This window comes from Homo sapiens, chromosome 7 (assembly GCF_000001405.40).
Source record: "Homo sapiens chromosome 7, GRCh38.p14 Primary Assembly".
Taxonomy (NCBI): Eukaryota; Metazoa; Chordata; class Mammalia; order Primates; family Hominidae; genus Homo; species Homo sapiens.
This window is the reverse complement of record NC_000007.14, coordinates 30,390,288-30,413,461: the sequence shown is the minus strand read 5'-3', so window position 1 is coordinate 30,413,461 and position 23,174 is coordinate 30,390,288. Positions and strand designations below refer to the sequence as shown.

At 39.0% G+C, this 23,174-nt stretch overlaps 1 long non-coding RNA gene across 1 annotated transcript, besides 2 other annotated features; it reads right to left on the bottom strand.

Moving 5' to 3' along the window:
- Positions 1-70: an enhancer, noted in NCBI's record as "active region_25811". NCBI's record gives its function as "activates an Ori minimal core promoter by ATAC-STARR-seq in GM12878 lymphoblastoid cells {active_cell/tissue: GM12878}" and the evidence as "EXISTENCE:reporter gene assay evidence [ECO:0000049][PMID:35858748]".
- LINC01176 (long intergenic non-protein coding RNA 1176) lies at positions 9,407-22,577 on the bottom strand. The gene is made up of 3 exons (NR_108081.1): positions 22,427-22,577; positions 10,440-10,550; positions 9,407-9,860 (listed from the first exon to the last, which is right to left on the bottom strand). It is a non-coding gene; the product is annotated as a long intergenic non-protein coding RNA 1176 (long non-coding RNA).
- Positions 21,777-22,395: an enhancer, noted in NCBI's record as "NANOG-H3K27ac hESC enhancer chr7:30430683-30431301 (GRCh37/hg19 assembly coordinates)". NCBI's record gives its function as "activates a minimal SCP1, AML or CMV promoter by ChIP-STARR-seq in naive H9 embryonic stem cells {active_cell/tissue: H9 hESC(naive)}" and the evidence as "EXISTENCE:reporter gene assay evidence [ECO:0000049][PMID:30033119]".
- Positions 22,578-23,174: the final 597 nt, after the last annotated feature.

Genomic DNA, 23,174 nt, shown 5'->3' with positions numbered 1-23,174 from the left:
TGGAGTCACAGGCTGGGAGCACCCTGCAGAATGGCAAGTGACATCTTGACTCTACAGAGCCAACAGCCCGGGAGCACCACACAGAATGGCAGGTGACATCTTGGCTCTACAGAGCCAACAGCTTCGTCACTGGCTACAGATCCTCCATCCCCCAACCATGAGACTGGAACAAAGGAAGTAACTGGGTACATTCCAGAGAAGTGGAGAAGGTTGCAATTGAGTGACTTTCATCACAAGAGGGCAGCATGTGTCCAGTAATTAATCCATTATGTAAGTGGCCAAAGGATTCAACCGTGCATGGGGTCTGGTGACTGGCACATTGTTCTATTTAAATAAGGCTCAAACCAAAGTACATTGTGTTAAAAACAATTTTAAGCCCATTCATCCATGAGTTCAAAGATATCAATAAGTGCAAGAGTTGGCTGAGGGCACCTTAAAAGAACACTATTGTGGCAAGTTCTCTGGAGACTGAGGATCTGGGTTCAAATCCCGGTACTACCAGAAGCTGTGTGAGCTTGGACAAATGACTTAGCATTTCTGTACCTGAGCTCCCCATCCATAAGAGTTTTATAAAACAGTGCTCCCCTTGCAGAATTGTCTGGTTGTGAGTAAATGAATTAATAGGTGTAAAGCACTTTAAACGGTACCCAGTAGCAACTCCTGTTACCTAATGAGAACTTTTTCCTCTAGCACTGCCTTAATGAGCATCAGGGATAGGGCAAGAGAAGAAAAGAGACTCTGCCAGGCCATCCTTCCTAACATTAAGAGCCCCTCTACGACACTGCCATTTTCAAACTGATAGCAAAGTCCAGTCTTTTAAGCCCAGAGACTGGAACCCATTTCCAAGGCTGAATACCTGTGGGATTGGAACTAACTATTGTCTATACTTGAAATTGTCTTCAGTCTTATTCTGTCAAGAAGCCACATGTCCCAGTGAACACATATCCAGAAACATAGATCAGGAAAGCCAAAAACCAATTTGCATTTTGATTTGATTTCACAGATGTTAGAGTGTATCATCTGGCTTTCCACACTAAAATCATATGATTGAAGGTTCTTTGATGTCAGCATTTGGTTCTCTTTCCAGCACTCCTTTCATTCACTGATGAACATTGCTCCTGATTCCCCTGCCTGCAGCAAAAATGAATGAGTGAGCCGGAGAGGAGAGTAGGAAGGAAGGAGATGAGAACAGAATAGAACAGCAAGGAAGGACGTGGGTGGGCTAATTCCTGGAATCTTAACTTCCACCCTCTATTGCCACCATCCTATTGATGTGTCCAGGGAGGACTGGCCTGGTGCCTAAGGCCATCAGCTGCATCCTAAGCACACTGACGTTTCCTGGAGCCAGTAAGCTCATCACCTGCTGAACAGCTGTGGGGACAGCTCACCTGCCCACTGCTGCTTTCAGATTCCCAACTGGATATTCACTAGGTGATGTGTAAGATCTTCCTTCTGCTGAGAAAATGCACTTAGCTTGTTTCCAATTCACTTTCCCAGGAGAACTCACGGGTGATGAAGACTCTTCCACTTGAATCCTCTAGTCCATTGCTTCTCATTATCACCCCTGTAAGGAGACATTTTAGATATTTTCCCCAATCTCTCTCCCATCTTGAAATTTTAATACCACTGATATACTGTGTTTCTGTTTATGTACAACTGCAACCCTCTGAAGGCCACAAACCATCGAATAACTAAGTTCCTTTTTGTCTCCCAAGAATTAATTTTGCCCCTGTGGGGATGATAAAGCTCTTACTGAAAATCTCATCAAACCCTAGATAAGTCTTCTCATGCTTGTTGTCTCCAAGAACCCTTCTATCACCCTCTCTTTCTGTGTAGAGCGATTTGCTTTCTGCACATTATTCAACTTTCAATACATCTTAATAGTTATAAATTTAACATTCTTATTCTCTTTTCACTCTATCCTAAAGACAGTTTTATCTATGTGCAAGAACTGTGCTTATATTAGGAAAAGCAGTGCTGTTTGTGAAAGGGGAACAGGCCCTCCTAGCAGGGACAGTTGTTGCCTGAAGCCTTCTGGTCCCAGTTGCTTCAGAGATGAATTTCTGCAACATGTCCCGAATTACTGCCACCTGGCCTTTGGGGAGAACTTGAGGCTAACTTTGGCTTTGCTGCTGTGCAAACTTCCCTTTCTCACTTTCCAGTTCCCCCTCCCTAACTCCCCCTCTAAGAGACCCAGTGATACCCAGAATTCCCTTTTAAAATAGAACCCAGGCCTCTGCCACTCCGGGCTGCCTACTTCCCACATCAGCCCACCCCATGCATCATTGCTGAGCTTCGCTAGGTGTTGGGGACATCAGACTCATTCAGGCAATTCAGAATAAAACGCAACTGTCTCACAGGACTACCCATGTCAGATAGTTTAATATCAGAAGAGGAGCTGGCTGATCCAAAAACTCTACTTAGAAACACAAAGGATGAGAAACTTCAGGTCAAGATAATCTTCATTTCTCCTCAATTGTCTTCCCCACAGTTCCAGAATCATTCCAGGGTATGGTTGGCATTTCTGAAAGGGTTTGATCCCTGCAACACCTTAAGCAGAGCTCAAAGTCCATCTACTTTCTATCTATCCAACCATCCATTTGTTTCACAAATAAATACTGAACATCTGCTTTAGGCCAGGTACTGTGCTGGCTGATAGGAAATGGTTAGTGTCATGTCTGGACTTTTTACCCTACTTGCAAGTTAGTAAGTTAGACTGTTACTGTTTTGTGGATGCTGGCACAGGACGCAAGCCTCCTGGGTCAGAAGCACAGGACTTTATGATCGACAGAACAGTAGACAACATGAGCACGAGCATGTCTGCATCAGCCCCTGTGCCCCGTAGCCCACGAAGACAGTGTGCTGGGGCACAGGTGGATGCTACACATACAGTGGCTTTGCATGGCAGCTGAAGAACACTGAGCTTGAGGAGCCTGCCATTTTATAGCAAGCAGTAGCAAGTCTGCTCTCCGAACTGGAGGGAGCTACTACTTTATCCTCAAGGTTGTCTGCTGCGAACATAATGTCTGCTGAGAAGCAGTCTGAGTAGAGTGGTCAGGGCCTCGCCTTGTGTGCTTACCCAGCAAGAATGTGCTGGATGCTCAGGACTCAGGGCAGATCACCTCTCTCAACAGTGAACTAAAAACACGCAGAGAGCCTACACTCGCAGCACATACGGTCTAGTGGGGAAGATGGATATATTTATTCAAACCACCAAGTGGGTAACTGCCAAACTGCAACCATGATGAGTGCCCAAGGAAAGGTGCAAGGGCTTTCAGGGCCTATCATAGGCGTACCGTTCTCCCTTGAAATCAAGGACACAATCTGCAGGGAGGACAGTGAGGTTCAGTAAATGAACAGCATGGGCCAAGGCCCCATGGCTCCGAGGAGCCTGGCCATGAAAACTGGATCATAGAACTCAAGGAGGAGCACAGCACAGGTGGAGCTGGGAAATACAAGGTAAGGGCCCACCCCAAGACAGGCCAGTGTTTCTTAAACTGTATACTGTGACCTGCTAGGAGGTTGTGAAAGCAATGGGGTGTACGCCCAACCTCTGTTTTTAAAAAATGAAACAGAATAGAATATCAGAGTCCACCACAGAGTAGCACCAAGAAGCAGTGAAAAGCACGGGTCTGGACCCAGACTGCCACTCATTAACTGTACAACCTCAGACAAGCAACTGAACCTCTCTGTGCCCAAGTGGCTTCAGCTTTAAAGTGGTCATAAGAACATGTGCATCGCATGGGTTCTTACAGGGACTAGATGAGTTACTATTCACAGCACAGCAAGAACAGTGTCTGGCAATCAGTAACTGCCATGCAAGTATTTGTTAATCAAATAAAGGGTAAGTATTGTCTTGTGACACTTTTATAAAATATACATCAAGTGTACTGAGTTTCAATATAAACTGTCTTTATTGCGAGTAAAGGTCAAAAAAGTTTAAGAATTTTGGTCTTTCACAGAAATCTGAAGCCCCTGAAAGATTTCATCAGAGAGGAGTGGCACCAACAGGTTTACATTCCGAAAAGATGGCTTTGGCTGCAGTATGAAGTTGAGGACCTTATGAGACAACCAGCTGGGAGGCTCTCGCAGAAGTTGAGGCAGAGATGATGGTGGCTCATGGGCAGCACTAAGAAATAGCCACAGGGACCCATAGGCACTGATATTGCATGCAGAGATCTTGAGAGCTGTTTTGTGCATTCTGTGGCTAGGTCGCCGATTAGTGGAGAAAATTTTGTGATGGCATCTGAATCTACCTGGAACATCAGTGCCTATATTGGTCACAGCTTCTCTGGTGGCAAATAACAACATCCTTCTCTGGGTATCTTAAGCAAATGGGGGCATTTATAGGATAAATCCACTGGGGGCTAGCACACCAGCATGGAAAATGTGGTGGGGGGGGCAGGAACCAAGATAGTTCTGGAAGGCTAAGAAATACAGGAAGCAGGATCAACACCACCAGTACTCCACTGATACATTCATGAATGACTTCTAATAGTACCGTCTTGGTTTTACTCTTAATATTCAAAGTTCTTGGCAGACACAGCCAATCAACCAAGGTCAGGTCACAGGCAATGCCTTAGCTGACAGGAGACAGAGAGAGGGAGGATGTTAGCCCCTTTGTCTTTCATAGTGGGAGCTGGGGCAGTCACCCACCCAGATGACTCACAGTGGGAGATTTTCCCAGAATAGAAAGGGGCACCACCGGAATGGGTGAAGGATGGCACAGGGGGCACTGATGGTACAGGGAGTCAAGAATGATTCACGGGCTTTTGGATTGTGGGGTCATTTTGAAACTACTAGAAAAGAACTGGATTTTGTTTGGAGGGAAGGGTGAATGAGGAGGAAGCACAGGGCCGGTGTGGACATAAATTGAGTTTGAGGTGCATGTGAGATAAACAACTGGAGATACACAGGGCTGGGGCATAACAGAGGCCTGAGGTAGAGAAACAAGTTTGGGACTCAACAGGATATAGATAGTATTGAAGACATGGTCAAAGATGAGGCCAACCTAGGGCAAGAGTAGAGTGAGAAAAGACCAAGCACGAAGTCTTGAGGAATTCTGTCACTTAAAGACAAGGTAAAGGAGGATGAGTCTTCAAAGGAAACTAAGACAAGGCCAGAAAGGTTGAAGGAAAAGCAGACGGATGGTGGCGTGGTGTTGAGAAGAAGTCAACCACCAGTAAGAAAGTTTCATGCTCATGGATTTAGTGACAGGAAGGTCATGGGTCACCCTCATAAGAGCTGTTTTCATAAATTAATGCAAGGAAGCCAGACTGAAAAGGATTGAGAAATAACTGGAAGATGAGGATATCCTTCAAGAAATACAATGTGGGCTGGGGCACAGTGGCTTATGTCTGTAATCCTGGCACTTTGCGGGGCTGAGGCCCGTGGATCACCTGAGGTCAGGAGCTTGACACCAGCAAGACCAACACAGTGAAACCCCGTCTCTACTAAAAATATAAAAATTGGCCAGGTGTGGTTGTGGATGCCTGTAATCCCAGCTACTCAGGAGGCTGAGGCAGGAGAATCGCTTGAACCTGGGAGGCAGAGGTTGCAGTGACCAAGATCACGCTATTGCACTCCAGCCTGGGTGACAGAGCAAGACTCCATCTCAAAAAAAAAAAAAAAAAAAAAGGAAAGAAAGAAATATGATATGGAAGGGACAGGATATGACAGTAGCTCAAGAGGGTTATGGAGTCTAGGGAGGGTTACTGCAACTGCATCTGACTTAAAACAAAGGGAGCTCAATGTTAATGGCAAAGATGAAACTGGGTTCATTTCTTTAATTCCCAATTCTACTAACCTAAATGTATGATGTATTGGTAATTATTTTATTCTCATATATAGACCTGAAAAGTAAAAAATAAACGATTACATTATTAAATAGAACTTGATTCAGGGATTATGAAAACAGTCTCAGAGTGGGACTCTGGTATTAAATATGTGACTAATATGTTGTATATACGTAAATGATTTGCCTAACTCTTGTACATATGGCAGATTTTTGCAGTAAATAGTCCCCAATAAATCATACTCCCCTCTACGCAGGTGACTCACTAAATAATGGCACATCGGCAAACACGATGCAAGCAGGAGCTTGAGACATACTTGCAGATTGGGGCTTGCCCTCTCTTGCTGCTGGGAACACTTCCACCAACATGTGAAAAATCTCAGGCAGGCCTGCTGGAGACACACAGTCCAGCCAGCACCTATTTCCAGACATGTGAGTGAGGCAATGCTGGACCAACTAGCCCCCAGCTTCCCACCTGCTCACTGTAGCCGCATGAACAAGTAGGGGCAAGAGCCCAAATTTCTGACTCACAGAATCATGAGTTAATTTAAGACTGTGGTTTTAAGTCGCTAAATGTTGGGGGTAGTTTGTTACCCAGTAAAAGATAATTGAAACAGTACATAAAAGTTAAGGAAGGCTAACTGCTGTAATAATAAATAGAATGCTAAATATACAACGGCTTAAATACAATAGAAGTTTATCTCTTGCTCATGTGAACAGTCCAAAGAGGTTTCAGATTGGTGGCAGGCGGCTCTGTCCCATACAGTCACTCAGAGACTCAGGATGTCCGTCTGTCATCGCCAATGTGTGGTTCCCAAGGTCACCTTGGGCATCATCAGCCAGACGGCAAAAGCAGAGAGAGCAAAAAGGACAGCAAATGGGAAGTTTTATTGGGCCCAGCCAAGAAACATGACATGTCTCCTACTCATATTCCATAGGCTAGAACCCAATCACGGGACCAAGGCTAAGTGCCATGAAGGAGTAGTTGCGCGCCTAGGAAGATGAGGAAACAATATGATGAACAGCAGGCACCACAGAATTGTACTGGCTTTTTTAGAAAATAAAAATCACGTTTGTCAGATGCAGCATGGCATAGTGGGAACAGGCTGAGGGCCAGAAAGATCTGCGTGAGATTTTGGTTCCACACTTGTTAAGTGTTTAACCTGGGAATATTACCTAATCCAGTTAGACCTTCATTTCTTTATCTACAAGATAGGGAAATACTTTTTTCATTGGGTTGTTGTGAAATTGGTGTAGTTTAATCTCTACACGTGGTAGAGTGCCGGGTACATGATCGGTGTTCGATAAACGGTAGCTACTGGCATTAACTAAATTGAATGGTATGATAAACAAATCAAAAAATATGGAGGGAAGAGTAACACTAAGCTGTCCAGATAGCAGTAGTATTAGCCATGATGCTTCCAAATTAAAATTACTGAAGTCCAATTAGCCAGGCTTGGTGGCGGGCACCTATAGTCCCAGCTACTTGGGAGGCTGAGGCAGGAGAATGGCATGAACCCAGGAGGCAGAGCTTGCAGTGAGCCGAGATCGTGCCACTGCACTCCAGCCTGGGCGACAGAGCAAGACTGTCTCAAAAAAAATTACTGAAGTCCAACTCAGTGTAATACAAAAAGAAGGGATTAGAATGATACAAAGAGATGAGGTGACTCTCAACATCAAAGGGAGACCTGTGGACTGGAACCCCTTTCAGGACTTCAGAGACTCAGTCTTTTGTTTTGTTTTTCGTGTTCTATGTCCACTTATATTCTTTGCTTCATTCTCCCCAGTTATAGACACACCTTTTGCCTCCACAACTGCTAATTTTAAAATGTGCGATAATGGTATTGTAGTTATGTTTTTAAAGAGTCCCTTTCTTGAAATACACATTGAAGCAGTTATGGATGAAATGATATCAAGGTTTTGCTTTAAATACATTTTAATATATTTGGGGATGCAGATGACATCCCCAAATATATTAAATTTGGGGATGAGTGCAGATGACAAGATTGGCCATGGGTTGGTCATTGCTGAAGTTAGGGGATGGGTGGGGCATTTCACTACATAGCCCTCTGTAGGGTTCTGCATCTGCGGATTCAAATCAGATCAAAAGTGTAGTTAGGTCTATGATGGTTGTGTCTGTACTGAGCATGTACAGATTTTTTTTTCTTGTCATTATTCCTTAAACAACACAGTATGACAACTATTTACATAGCATTTACATTGTATTAGGTACTACAAGTAATCTAGAGATGATTTAAAGTATGTGGGAGGATGTGCATGGGTTATATGCAAATACTGTGCCATTTTATAGCAGGGACTTAAGTGTCGGCAGGCTTTGGTATTCACAGGGGGTCCTCAGACCAATCCCTCACAGATACTGAGGAATGACTGAACCATCCTCTCTACTTTCATATATATTTGAAATTACCCATTAAAAAATAAAAACAAAGGCCCAACACTCATCTCGTCTTGGCTTAGCAATTCAAGAAAAGAAACAAATCGGGTTGGTCCATCTTATGTTAATTTTTTAGCTGTGATTTTCTGCCTTGGTGAAAGCTTTATGTAGTTAAAAGGAAGAGTGATCAGCATTTTCATCCATTTGGGTATGAACTTTCTGGACTTTAAGAGAAATGGGTAAAATGATATACATAAATCAGGACTTGACAGGGTTGAACTCACTACAATCTTTTCATGACCACTTTGCTAGAACACTTTTCCCATTTTTCTTACATCACCTTATGAGAGGCAGAGCTATTCTGGCAGTGTTTTCCTCAAGCACCATTGTATTTAATAGAGTCTCAGGAGAGACAAGTTCAGAGAAAAAGGCACAAGGACTGCAAAAGTTATGGATCTATTTTCTAGTGATGTAGATAATAAGCTTTCAGAATAGTCATGTGTATACTGAAGGTATCTAGTCAGAATGCCCAATACATCAGAGATCTTCTGGCCAGCGGCGCAAAAGAAAAGGATAAAGAGGTTGAGAACTAGTTACTATTGTTTTCTCATGTGATATATTTTCTAAAGAGAAAAAAGCTCTGTTTCTCTTTATTACACTCAAGGTGTGCATAGGTTTTGTAATCGTGTTGCTTGAACTGGTTGATCTCATGTATTATGTTGATCACATAAAAAATAAGGATCAAGGGGAAGAAGGTATTGATAACCTTAGAAATAAAGCCTAGGGGCTGGGTACGGTGTCTCACGCCTGTAATCCCAGCACTTTGGGAGGCCAAGGCAGGCAGATCATGAGGTCAGAAGTTCAAGACCAGTCTGGGCAACATAGTGAAACCCCATCTCTACTAAAAATACAAAAAATTAGCCAGGTGTGGTGGTGTGCGCTTGTAATCCCAGCTACTCAGGAGGCTGAGACAGGAGAATCGCATGAACCTAGGAGGTGAAGGTTGCAGTGAGCCGAGACAGTGCCACTGCACCTGGGTGACACAGCGAGACTCCATCTCAGAAAAGAAATAAAAATAAAAATAAAAAAAGCCTAGGGATATAGGGAGCCAGAATTCCTTGGCTATAACCTAGTCTTTGGTCTTTGGCAAAAAAAAAAAGTATATTTGGAATTTAACTTTAACTTTTATAATTAGACATCTTTGCTAATCAGTCTCATTTGTTATATCCAAATCAGACTTTTAATTTTCACAGATATGCCAAATTGTCTGTTCCAAAGATGGGCATCACAATACATCCCATTCCATGTGCTTCTCTTGCTATGTAACACTGACACTCCTTCCAACAGGTGGTAGAAGTCTGTCTTCTCCCCGTGCTCCTAGGAAGACCTTCATGTCCTCCTTGACCAACAGGGGATGGTGGAAGTGACTCTGTGTGACTTGTGAGACAAGATTCTAAAAGTCATGCACTTCTGCCTTGTTCTCTTGGGATAACTGCTCTTGGAACCCAGCCATTGCAGTGAGGAAGTCAAATAGCTCCATGGACATGCCATGTGTAGGTGTTCTGGCAAACAGCCCCAGGTGAGGTTCCAACTGACAGCCAACGTCAACCACCTGACGAGAATGAGTCTTCCAGCCTTGATCTGCTGAGTCATCGCCAACTCCAGCCAATACTGTAAGGAGCAAAGATGAGCTGTTCTGCCAATTGTAGCCCAAATTGCAGATTTTTGAATAAAATAAATGACTGTTATCATTGTAAGCCACTAAGTTAGGAGTGCTTTGTTATGCAGCAAAAAATAATTAGAAGAACAAATATGACATTATTAAATTAGTAATGCTTTTGACTTTTAGTACACGGGGGAATAGATAAGTAAAATGTTGAATAAATATGAATAAAGTGGAATATTTCTGAAGCAGTCAGAGGGATGAATTAGCCATACATGCAGCAACATAAGTCAATCTTAATACACAGTGAAGAACTAATCATCAGAATGCTATACAGACAATATATTAGGCCGATTTTGCACTGCTATAAAAAAATACCTGAGACTGAGAAAAAAAAAAAAAACCTGAGAAGAGGTTTAATTGGCTCACAGTTCTGCAGGTTGTACAGGAAGCATGGTGCTGGCATCTGCTTAGCTTCTGGAGAGGCGTCAGGGAACTTTTACTCATGGCAGCAGGCAAAGCAGGAGCAGGCATGTCACATGGTGAAAACAGGAGCAACAGAGGGCGAGGGGAAAGATGCCTCACACCTTTAAACAGCCAGATCTTGCTAGAAGTACCGCAAAGACAGCGCCAAGGGGATAATGCTAAACCATCCAAGAGAACTCTGCTCCCATGATCCAGTCACCTCCCATTAGGCTCTACCTCCAACAAAGGGAATTACAATTCAACATGAGGTTTAGAGGATACAACATCCAAACTATATCAGACAATAACCATTTATAAACATGTAAAAAAAAACTAAAAGAAATCTTAGGTATTTTTGAAAGATTCATAAAAATCTAATTCAATGTACAGAAGGTAGATCAGAAGGACATATATTAAATACACTAGGGTATGTAGTTAAATAACTATAGGATTGGGAATGGGAATAAAGGGAGAAAATTTTAAAAAAGTCAAAAACAAGAGAGTGTTATGTAATTTCCAGACTTGATTCCCATTTCCTTCTAAGTCACACAGCTAAAATCTATTTCCCAGCCTTCTGTGCAGTTAGGTGTGGCCATATGATTTAGCTCTAACTATTGGAATGTGGGCAAAAGAGATGTAAGTTATCTCTAAGCCAAGCCCCTCAGCAAGGAAAAAATGGCCTTGGCAACTAATAAATAGATACCAAGATGGACCACATCCTATCCTGGGTCATGTAAAACAAACCTTCACAAATTTAAAAGGACTGAAATCATAAAAAATATATTATCTGTTCATAATGAATCTAACTAGAAATCAATAATAACAGAAAGATACCAGGAAAATCACAAAACAATTAGAAATTAAACAACCCACTTTTAAATACTCCAATGGTCAAAGAGAAAGTCTCAAAGGAAATGTAAAAATACACTGAAGGGAATGAAAATACAACATATAAAAATCTTTGGGATGCAGTTAAAGCAGTTTCACTTTTAGAGAAATTTATAAATTTAACACTAAATGCTTATATTGGAAGATGGTCTCAGATCCAAAACAAAGCTTCCACCTCAAGAAACTACAAGCGGAAGAGCAAAATAAACCCAAAGCAAGTAGGAGGAAGGAATAAACGTAAGAGTAAAAAGTCAATGAAATTGAAAACAGAAAAACAATAGAGAAAAATGAAAGCAAAAGTTTATTCTTTGAAAAGATCAATAACATTGATCAACCTCAAGCAAGGCTGACAAAAGGTGGGGAGAAGAAGAGAAGAGGGAAGGAGAGAGGAGAGGAGAGGAGGGGAGACAGGAAGTTAAGAAGGGGGAAAGTGCAAGAAAGACATAAATGATCAATATTGGTAATGAAAGAAGGAATACTATTACAGACCCAGCAGACATTACAGGATAATAAAGGAATACAACAAACAACTCTATGCACATAAATTTGACAATTTAGATGATATGGACCAATTCCAAACTATAAAAACACCCAAGATAACAGATAACTTGAATAGTCTCATAACTACTAAAAAAATTGAATTAACAGTTTAAAACCTTTTGATAAAGAAATCTCCAGGCCCAGATGGTATCACTGCTGAACTGTAACAAACATTAAAAGAATAAGTAACAGTAACTTTATACCATCTCTTCTGGGAAACAGGGAAGGGAACAACTAATAAGTGAGTTAGCAGGGTTGCAGGATACAAAGTTCACACACACACATACACACAAATGGAACTTATTTCTATACACTAGCAACAAATGTATTGAAACTGAAATTAGAAACACAAAACCCTTTATACAGCTGCTCCAAAAAAATAACTTCAATCTAAATTGAACAAACTATGCATAGGATTTGTACGGAGAAAATTACACAACTCTCATGAAGAAAATCTTAAAAAGACCTAAGTCAATACAGAAACAAACTGTGCTTATGGATTGAAAGATGATTCAACATATTGAAGATGTCAATTCCCCTCAAGTTGATCCAGAGGCTTAATACCACTTTCATCAAAACCTCAGAAGGAGTTTTTGTAGATATGAGAAAATTTTCAAATTTACATGAAAGCATAAAAAACACAAAAGAAAGTAAAGCTGGTGGAATCACAATATTCAGTCTTCTAATACTATACAGTGATAGCAGTTAAGGCAATGAAGTCCTGGTGGAGGGACAGATATGCAGATCAAAGGAACAGAATAGTGTGTCCAGAAATAGACCCATGCAACTGTGGCCAACTGATTTTAACAAAAGGGCAAATCCAATTCAAAGGAGAAAAGATTTTTTCAACAAATGGTGTTAGAGTAACTGCACATTCTTGGTCATAAAAACAAACCTAAACCTAAACCTCACACCTAATACGAACATTAACTCAAGATGGATCACAGATCCAAATGTGAAGAGTGAAACCATAAATCTTTTAATAGGCTAGGATTAGGTGGAGTTCTTAGACATGATGCTAAAATCATGACCATAAAAGAAAAACATCAATAAAGTAGACTTTATCAAAACCAAATCCTTTTGCTCTGAGAAGGGCCACGTTAAGAGGATGAAAATACAAGGTATAGACTGGGAGAAAATATTTCCAATTCGCAGTTCGGACAAGGACCTTATATCCAGAATATATAAATAACTCTAAATACAACAGTAAGAAAACAAAAAATCCAATTAGAAAATGTACAAAACCAGACACTTTACTAAAGAGGATATTCAAATGGCATGTGGTATTCAATGTTAAACACAGATGTTTAACATTGTAGCTACTAAAAAATGCAAATTAAAGTCATGGTGATATACCACTATACACCTATTAGAATAATATGTATAAATAATGCCCAAAACTCCACAATGCTGTTAGTGAGGATGTAGAACAACTAGAACTCTCATATCCTGATGGTGGGAATATAAAACGCTACTCTGAAAAAGATTTTGGCAGTTTCTTATAAAGTTAAACACAGACTTGCCATAAGTCTGCTGGGTATTTATCCTACAGAAATAAAAACACATTTCCATACAAAAATCTACACAAATGGTTATAGCAACTTTATTTATAATAGCTGAAAGCTAGAAATAACCACAATGTCCTACAATAAGTGAATGGATAAGCAGTGGTTCGTCCACACAATGGAATACTACTCAGCAATAAAAAAGAAGAAACTACTGATGCATGTGACAAGCTGAAGGACTCTCAAGGATACTTGCTGAGTACAAAAAAAAAAAAGCCAATTTTAAAAGGCTATGTACTGCATGATGCCATTTACCTAACACTATTGAAATGGCCAAATGATAGTGACGGAGAACACATCAGTGGTTGCTGGGGGTCACATCTGTGAAGGTATGATTATAAAACTGTAGCATAAGAGACTTTGTGGTGATAGGATATTCTGTATACTGATTATGGCAGTAGTTACCATGCATCTATAACATAACTAAATTTCATATAAATATACACTGGAAAAAGACATGTAACAAAATTCGAATAAAGTCTGCAGTGTAGTTAACAGCATTAATCAATGCCCATTACTTAGTACTGATAATGTATCAAGGTTACCTAAGATCTTGTCATTGGGGCATCTGGGGAATCCTGGGTGAAGACACACAGGAATTGGTGGTATTGGCTTTTGCAATTCTTCATGAGTATAAAATTTATTTTAAAATACAGCTTAAAAAATTGGTATGAAGAGGCTTCTAAATATAATCCAGACTTTTACCCTTCCCTAGAAGACTGCATTTAGGCCAATAAAATAAGAAATACTTAAAATCTGCCTCACTTGCTGATCCACCCAAATACTGTTCCACACTTTTCTGTTTGTATCTCTCGTCTTCCCTCCTCCTCCTCCAGCCTCTGAAATATACAGTCTAACTCAAAGTCCCTTAAAATGGCAGTCTCCATACGAAGAAGACCCAAATACTTCCCAATATGTCCATGTCTAACGCAGGCTGTATTCAGAACTTTGTGCCACTGCTAAGGATTCCCGAATCCTGTCCCAGCCCACCCACTCCACAACCTTCTTGACCTCTGTCAAGCAGCTCATCTTTTTGTGGGTCTAGGATACAAAAACTTCATATTGTGAATTTAAAAAGTCACTGGAAAATGGTTCCATTCTAGTCAAGAAGAGAAAGAACCAGAAGCCTCTGAGTGATTATAAAAGGGGTCACCAAACGGGTACTGTAGCATCCAAATTCCAACGATCCACTTAGCCCAAGAAGATAAGTATCTTTAATAGTAGGACAGAAACAAACTCTTCAAATTGACATGGGTAATACTATAAATCCCACAATTGTATTTAAAAGATTCAATTTTTCAGAACTGTAACATTTTCAGGTGGTAGGTTAGCTTTTGCCCTGTCTGACCTTCCCATAGCTGGCTCTCATTTTCTGCCTTCTACTTCTCTGTCTCCTGCTCTTAGAAAAACATGTGAATTAATAAAAAAGTATTATGATGTTATTTACATACTCATACAGTCCAGATAAAATTCAAACGAGTTTTTAAAAATTGTCAAGTTTTACTGGCACTGGTTCTTTAAATTTTTCTTCCTAAAACTAATATAGGAGAAAAAAGTTAACTGTTAGTTTGAATAATGGTCTTGGTTACTAGGTTGGAAGATACAAAAAGCAGGAAACTTAAAACCTTTTGACATGATTTAAAATTTTGGTTTATGAATACATAGTTTCATCATGTATCAAAATTAGAATGAATTCTATTAAAAGAGTTCATGTAACATTTATGATCATATCCCTTTGGACAAATTGAAATGATTTTAGTTTAAAAAACAGCTCTATATTGTCTTATTGACTTTATCATCATGTAAAAATGTTAGTACAAAGTGCTAGTTTGTATGAGAATTGGATTTAATGTTTTTAGGATTTAAAATCTCTAAAATTCTTGCACTGGTTTATGGGTCAAATAGATTTAATCATGTGAAATTCTTATTAATGCTGCAAACCATAAAGACTTAATATGAGCTTTAGTTTCCAGATCCACAGTTAACTTTACAAGTTTAGACTAATATTAAATAGAGTTAATAAACAATGTTTAGATACTTTGACAATTTCTAAGTAAGAAAAATATACAAAACTGGTCAGGAAACCTGGTTTTATACTTGTCCCCTTTATTTTAAAGGATGAGTAAAGAGAAACCAAGTGCAATTGCCTTTGGATAATATTAATTTATTTTTACTATCTTAAGATTTATAAGATGTAAAATGTATACTAATGGAGAAAAAAACTAGTTTTTGGTGTATGTATTCCAGTTCTCTGTGTTTAGAGGAAATGAGTTATTTTCATTGAGGTAGTAACTGACAAAACAGTTAAGATAATAACATAGTTATAAAATAATACATGAGATATGTATCTCATGAGATAACAAACGTGGCTTATCTGTTTATTAGAGAAACAATTTGATTAAGATGGTAAATTCAGTAATATATATTGTTTTACTTAATATGTTCATAAAGGTAATTGTATTTTAAACCTGAATTAAGACTTCAAATTTATTACATATTTAAATATTACATTAAACAAATATTTAGGAAGGTACATTCATGGAAGAAAAATCCTTCAGAGCAAATCATTATTTGGATGATAGAACAAAACAGTCAAATTCAAATTAGTATACTCTTCCTGTAAAATGACCAATCTCATTCTATCCCCAAAGAGTTTCTTTTCAAAAATAAAAGTGTGAAATCTCTAGCACACTCTTCAATCATTTTAACATAAAGTTTTTTTGAAAAAATTAAATTTCTTATCACCATCATTCTTACTGTTGCTATGTGTTCATGATATTGTAAAAATTTTCTGCAGTTAGTACTTCTTACTTATGTTCATATTTTGTCTGCTTGTTAACTCTTATTTTGCCTTTTCCAACTTGAGAATAATAAAATTGCCAATGTGTGGTTTACAACTAAATGTTCTTCAGGTATCCTAGAATGGCCACAAGGCAACCCTGAGATTTGCCTCTTGATAGCCTTGGGTGTGATGGCATATATGAAAACAGTCTTCAATTATTACTACTCTATTTAGCTAACCTCAACTTTTCTAAGACTTTTTTTTTTTAAATAATCATAACACACTTCTCAGACTTTTCTGTGAAAATAAACAAACATACCAGAAGCCATTTTTTATACAGAGGGTGGGGGGGTGTGGGGTGGGGAGGAAGCTACGAAATAATTAGGTTTTTTTTTGGCATTTCCAAATTTTAATTACCTTAAAACTTATGAAAAAAGTCTTTTTAGTTGTCTAAACATAGAATAATAAAATCTGAGAAATCACATGAGAAATTTTAAACAATCATTTAATATCAGAAAATAAAAACCCCTTTGAGTCTTGATGAAATGGACCTTTTCAGGAGATCTGAAGCTCTTGAGTCTTAAAAATCTCTGGGAGGAGATGATCAGATAGATGAAGGCCGCTATAACCCAAGACCCTCAGATTGAAGAGATGGTGACACAAAGTAGTTGGCGTCTACCCAACACGGAAGAACAAGATTACTTTTCTGATAGCTCTGCTTTTCTTTATTTTTCCCACCTTATTGCTGATCTTTATGTTATTGTACTGTGGTGCCCCCTAGCAAGCACCGAAAGGCCTCGCAGATTGTGTTTACATGTTCTCACTGTTATAATTTGATTCTCCCATGATCCTTCTACGCCATGTAAAAAAGGCAAATTCTCGTTTGTTCTTCTCAGTCTATAGCTCCTGCTCTACAAATCTAAATCAATTGTTGCTGGATTTTTTGATTGTTTGTTTGTTTGTTTTAAGACAGAGTCTTGCTCTGTCACCCAGGCTGGAGTGCATTAGCACAATCTCGGCTCGCTGCAACCTTTGCCTCCTGGGTTCAAGTGATTCTCCTGCCTCAGCCTCCCGAGTAGCTGGTATTACAGGTGCCCGCCACCACGCCCAGCTAATTTTTGTATTTTTAGTAGAGATGGGGTTTCGCCATGTTGCCCAGGCTGGTCTCAAACTCTGACCTAAGGTGATCCGCCTGCCTCTGCCTCCCAAAGTGCTGGGATTACAGGTGTTGGATTGTTTTTATCTCTAAACTGACCTCACTGATAAAAATTAACAGCTGTTACTTTAAATAACTTAGATGGCTGATTTTCTTCTACAGGTCCCTTCCCATATTCGAAGCTTCCTCACATTTGTTAGCCCCAACCTTCAGAACTTTTAAAACTTGGAATCTAACCTTAAGTCAACAAAATACTTCTGCTGAAATGATTTTAGCACAGCTTACTAGGAGTGGAAACAAATACTGGGGCTAGCCTTGTGGCCATGGTCAGTTGGTTCTCTTCAGATTCTCCAGACTGATTTGCGAGAACTGTTTACATTCACTCAGGAAATCTGCCCACCTCAAGGCACAAGTAGTTGGCTCATACCTACTGTGATGTATGTTACTGTATTAATCTGTTCTCGTACTGCTAATAAAGACATACCCAAGCGTGGGTAATTTACAAATGAAAGAGGCTTAATGGACTCACAGTTCCAAATGGCTGGGGAGGCCTCACAATCAATGGCAGAAGGCAAGAAGGAGCAAAGTCACCTCTTACATGGTGGCAGGCAAGACAGCGTGTACAGAACTCCACTTTATAAAACCATCAGATCTCATGAGACTTCTTCACTATCACAAGAATAGCACGGGAAAGACTCGCCCCCATGAATGAATTACCTCCTACTGGGTCCCTCTCACGACACGTGGGGATTATTACAATTCAAGGTGAGATTTGGGTGGGAACACAGACCCAAACCATATCATTTGCACTCCCAATACAGATGACCCCACATTCCTACATGGCTTCTTTTCAACCAACAAATCAAAATTTGAGAGATGCAGCTAAAGCAGTACAACAGATTGCAGAGGAAATTATAGCATTCTATACAAACTCTTTCAGAAAATGAAAGGGGAGAGAACACTTCTCAACTTTCTTAATGAGCCCTCCATTACCCTGACACCAAAACCAAAGATACTGCAAGAAAACAACAGACCATGTCCTTCACAGACATACATATAAAAAGTCTTCAACCACATTTTAGCAAATTGAATCCATAAATACATAAAAAGTTGGGTCAACATTCAAAAATTAATCAAGGAAGTCATCCTATCAGCTGATTAGAAAAATCATATGATTTCATTTGATGGGGAAAAAAATTGCCAAAATTCAATATCCAGTCATAATAAATCCTCTTAGCAAAAGACTGAATGCTTTCCCTTTAAGTTCAAGAACACGCAAGGCTCTCGGCTGTTAGTAGTGAGATCTATTCATATTAGCCAATGTAATAAGGGAGGAGTGAGAGAGGGAAGGGGAGAGAAGGGACAGAGGTGGAAAGTGACACATGAAGGGAAGGAGGAGCAAACAATAAAAAGAGAAAAAAAGAAAAGAAAAGGCGTACAGATTAGAAAGGAATAAATGGTTTCGATCTGTGGACAACATAATTGTCTATGCAGAAAATTCCAGAGAATCTACAAAAAAAAAAAAAAAAGCTACTAGAACAAGTAAGTGAGTTTAGGAAGATCACAGGATACAAAAGGAAATATAGAAAAATCAGTCAGTTTCATATAACAGCAATGAACTGAATATTAAAAACTTTAAAACAGTATTATTTACAATTTACAATAGCACTAAAAATCATGAATACTCAAGTATAAACCTATCAAATTATGTAAAAGATTTGTATATTGAAAACCATAAAACGCTGATGAAAGACACTTTAAAATACTGAAATAGGCTGGGTGTGGTGGCTCACGACTGTAATCCCAGCACTTTGGGAAGCTGAGGCTGGCAGATCACGAGGTCAGGAGTTTGAGACCAGCCCAACCAACATGGTGAAACCCCATCTCGACTAAAAATACAAAAATTATCCGGGCGTGGTAGCACGTGCCTGTAATCCCAGCTACTCAGGAGGCTGAGGCAGGAGAATCACTTGAACCCAGGAAGTGGAGGTTGCAGTGAGCCAAGATTGCACCACTGCACTCCAGCCTGGGTGACAGAGAGAGACTCTGTCTCAAAAAAAACAAAAACAAACAAACAAAAAACTGAAATAAATGGTGAGATATATTACATTCACTGGTAACAGGACTCAATATTGTTAAGATGTCAAAATTGATCTATAGGTTCAATGCAATCCCAATCAAAATCCCAGTAGGAAGTCTGGTAGTAATTAATAGGCTGATTCCAAAATTTATATGGAGGGGCAAAGGAGCTATAAAAACTAAAACATTTGAGGAAAAAAAAAATAAAGCTGGAGGACTCACACTACCCAATTTCAAAACTTACTACAAAGCCACAGTAATTAAGACAGTATAGTCATAAAGAAGGGGCAGACACAGATGCAGAAAAGAAAATTCAGAAATAAATCCACACCCATGAATAACTGATTTTAAACAAGGTGTAAAGATAATACAGTGGATAAAGAACAGTCTTTTTAACAAATAATGCTAGAATAAGTGTATATACATACACAAAAACAAAAACAAAACTCTCCACCCATTGCTTGCACCACATAAAAAAAGTAACTAGAAATGGATCATACCTTAACTGCAATACCTAAATCTTCTACAACAAGAGTTAGCAAACTAAGGCTCATGGGCCAAATCTTTATCTGTTTTTGTAAAAACAGTTTTACTGAACACCTATTCATTTATGTATTTTATGGCTGCTTACATGCTACAACAGTGACTATGACCTGTAAAGCCTAAAATATTTTCTATTTGGCCCTTTACAGAAAAAGTTTGCTCACCTCTTTTCTAGAAGACAGATCTTTGTAACTTTGGGTTTACCAAACATTTCTTAGATTTGACACCAAAAGCACAATTCAAAAAAGAAAAAGACCCAATAAATTGAACTTCCATCAAAATTTTAAATGTCTGCTCTTCAAAAGACATTGCTAAGAAAACAAAAGAACAAGCCAGACTGGGAGAAAATAGAAAATACTTGCAAGTCATATATATATGTATATATATATGACATATATATATATGTATATATATATGACATATATATATGTCGTATATATATATGACATATATATATGTGTATATATATGACATATATATGTATATATGACATATATATGTATATATGACATATATATGTATATATATGACATATATATGTATATATATGACATATATGTGTATATATATGACATATATATGTATATATGACATATATGTATATATATGCCATATATATGTATATATATGCCATATATATGTATATATGCCATATATGTATATATGTCATATATATGTATATATATGTGACATATATATGTATATATATGACATATATATGTGTATATGACATATATATGTATATATATATGACATATATATGTATATATATGACATATATATGTTATATATATGACATATATATGTATATATATACATATATATGTATATATGACATATATATGTATATATTTGACATATATATTTGACATATATATATTTGACATATATATATATTTGACATATATATATATATATTTGACATATATATATATATATATATAATTTTTTTTTTTTTAAAGACAGGGTGTCACTCTGTCTCCCAGGCTGAAGTGCAGCAGCACAATCATGGCTCACTACAGCCACAACCGCCCAGGTAGCTGGGACAAAAGGCGTGTGCCACCACCATGCCTGGCTAATTTTTTGTATTTTTTGTACTTTTTTTTTTTTTTGTAGAGATGGGGTTTCACCATGCTGCCCAGGCTTGTCTCGAACTCCTGGGCTCAAGCAATTTGCCCACCTTGGCCTCCCAAAGTGCTGGGATTACAAGCGTGAGCCACCACACCTGGCCAAAACCATATTTTTGATAAAGGATTTGTATCAAGAATATACAAAGAATTCTCAAGATTCAGTAAGAAAACATACAATCCAGTTTTTCAAAAATGTGCCAAAGGGTTGAATAGACACTTCACTAAAGAAAATATACCTGTAGCAAAGAAGAATATGAAAAAATACACAACATCATTTGCATTGGGAGAATGAAAATGAAAAACACAATGAAATGCACCGTATACCCAAGTCAAAACAAAAAAATAGCAAAAACATCAAAACTGCAGACAATATCAAATTCTGGTGAGGATGCCAATCACCTGGAATTTTCATACATTTTTGGTGGGAATGCAAAGTGGCACCACCAGTTTGCAAACCTGTTTGGCAATTTCCTACTAAGTATATATACATATTTATCATATAACTAGCTATCCCACTCCTAGGAATGTACTCAAGAGAAACAAAATCTTTGATTCACATAAAAACTTCTAGGTGAGGCCGGGCGCAGTGGCTGACGCCTGTAATCCCAGCACTTTGCGGGACAGAGGCAGGCGGATCATGAGGTCAAGAGATCAAGACCATCCTGGCCAACATGGTGAAACCCAGTCTCTACTAAAAATGCAAAAATTAGCTGGGCGTGGTGGCATGTGCCTGTAATCCCAGCTACTAGGGAGGCTGAGGCAGGAGAATCACTTGAACCTGGGAGGCGGAGGTTGCAGTGAGCCAAGATCGGACCACTGCACTCCAGCCTGGCGACAGAGCGAGACTCTGTCTCAAAAACAAAACAAAACAAAACAAAAAAACTTCTAGGTGAATGTTAACAGCAGCTTAACCACTGTCACTAAAAACTGGAACCAACACAAATCTTCCACTAGTAAATGGATGAGTAAACTATGGATTGCCACTCAGCAATTAAAAGGACCAAGCTGCTGAATACACATGACAACATGGATGACTCAAATGATTATGCTAAGTGGAAGAAGCTGGGCTTCTGTGATTTTCTATTCTCATTCATATTCAAGTTGCTTGGGTAACTTGTAATCTTTATCGCTTGCCACACATTATTCTTGAATAAGTATTTAACGGGAGTCTCCTGACGCTTGAGATGAGCCCTCTTCCAGAGAGATCTTGCTGTGCTTCTGCCGAATTCAGATTTTGAGAATCCTTGGCCCAACCAGCTATGTATATTTGAGAAGCTAATCTTCAGGGAAGCAGATATGCACAGGCCTTCCAGGGAAATTGTATTTTCTATTTCTTTTCCTCCCTGCTCCAAGAGCACCAAGGTAGCCACAGTTCATTACAACTGCTGGGAAGAGGGCACTGGGTTCAGCTCTGACTCCTCCTTACCTTTAGCTCCTTGTTATCCGATTCCTGTTGGTAGGGTCTCCTGCAAGCACACTGTCTTGCGTGGGCTCTGTGCTTTAACATGTTTTCTTGGCTCAGCCAGGCCACAGAAACAGCAGACAAGTGTTTGTGGTATCAGCAACTGCTGTCTCAGCACAGGCAGCTTTTTGTTCCAGTATTCCATTTCCCTCCCTGGTTATAGACTTTTATCCAAAAACTGGCCTGGAAGTTCAATGTTTTTTTAGTTCTTCACTTAAAAAAAGCCATTATTTTGTTTCTTCAAGTTTTCATAACCAGCCATCACCAGAAACTGGAAGTCCAAACATGCTCTTATTATTTAAGTAATTGGTGTACATGGTATAAATTCACGTCTTACAGAAAGATGCACAATGAAAAAAAGCAGCCTCTCCATGGCCCCTCCTCCCAATTCCAGTCCCACCCACTCCAAGTAAAGCAAAAAGTGCTTTAGTTGTATTTCTAAACGTTCCTACAACAGATATCTATTATTTTGCAATGGGAAAAATTTTACTTTAAAACATCCCCGGAACTTCTAATCTTCTGATACTTATAACCTCCATATCTCCAAGTAACATCTTTCTCTGTCTCTTGGTTCACAAACTCCTATGTCCAATATCTCCCACCTAAAAATGATGCCCTTTATAATCCCCTTGAAAAAGTGGAGTATACTTACCTCCTTGCCACAATCCCAATATGTTAGTCTTATTATTTCTTAGCTTACTGAGTGCCAACT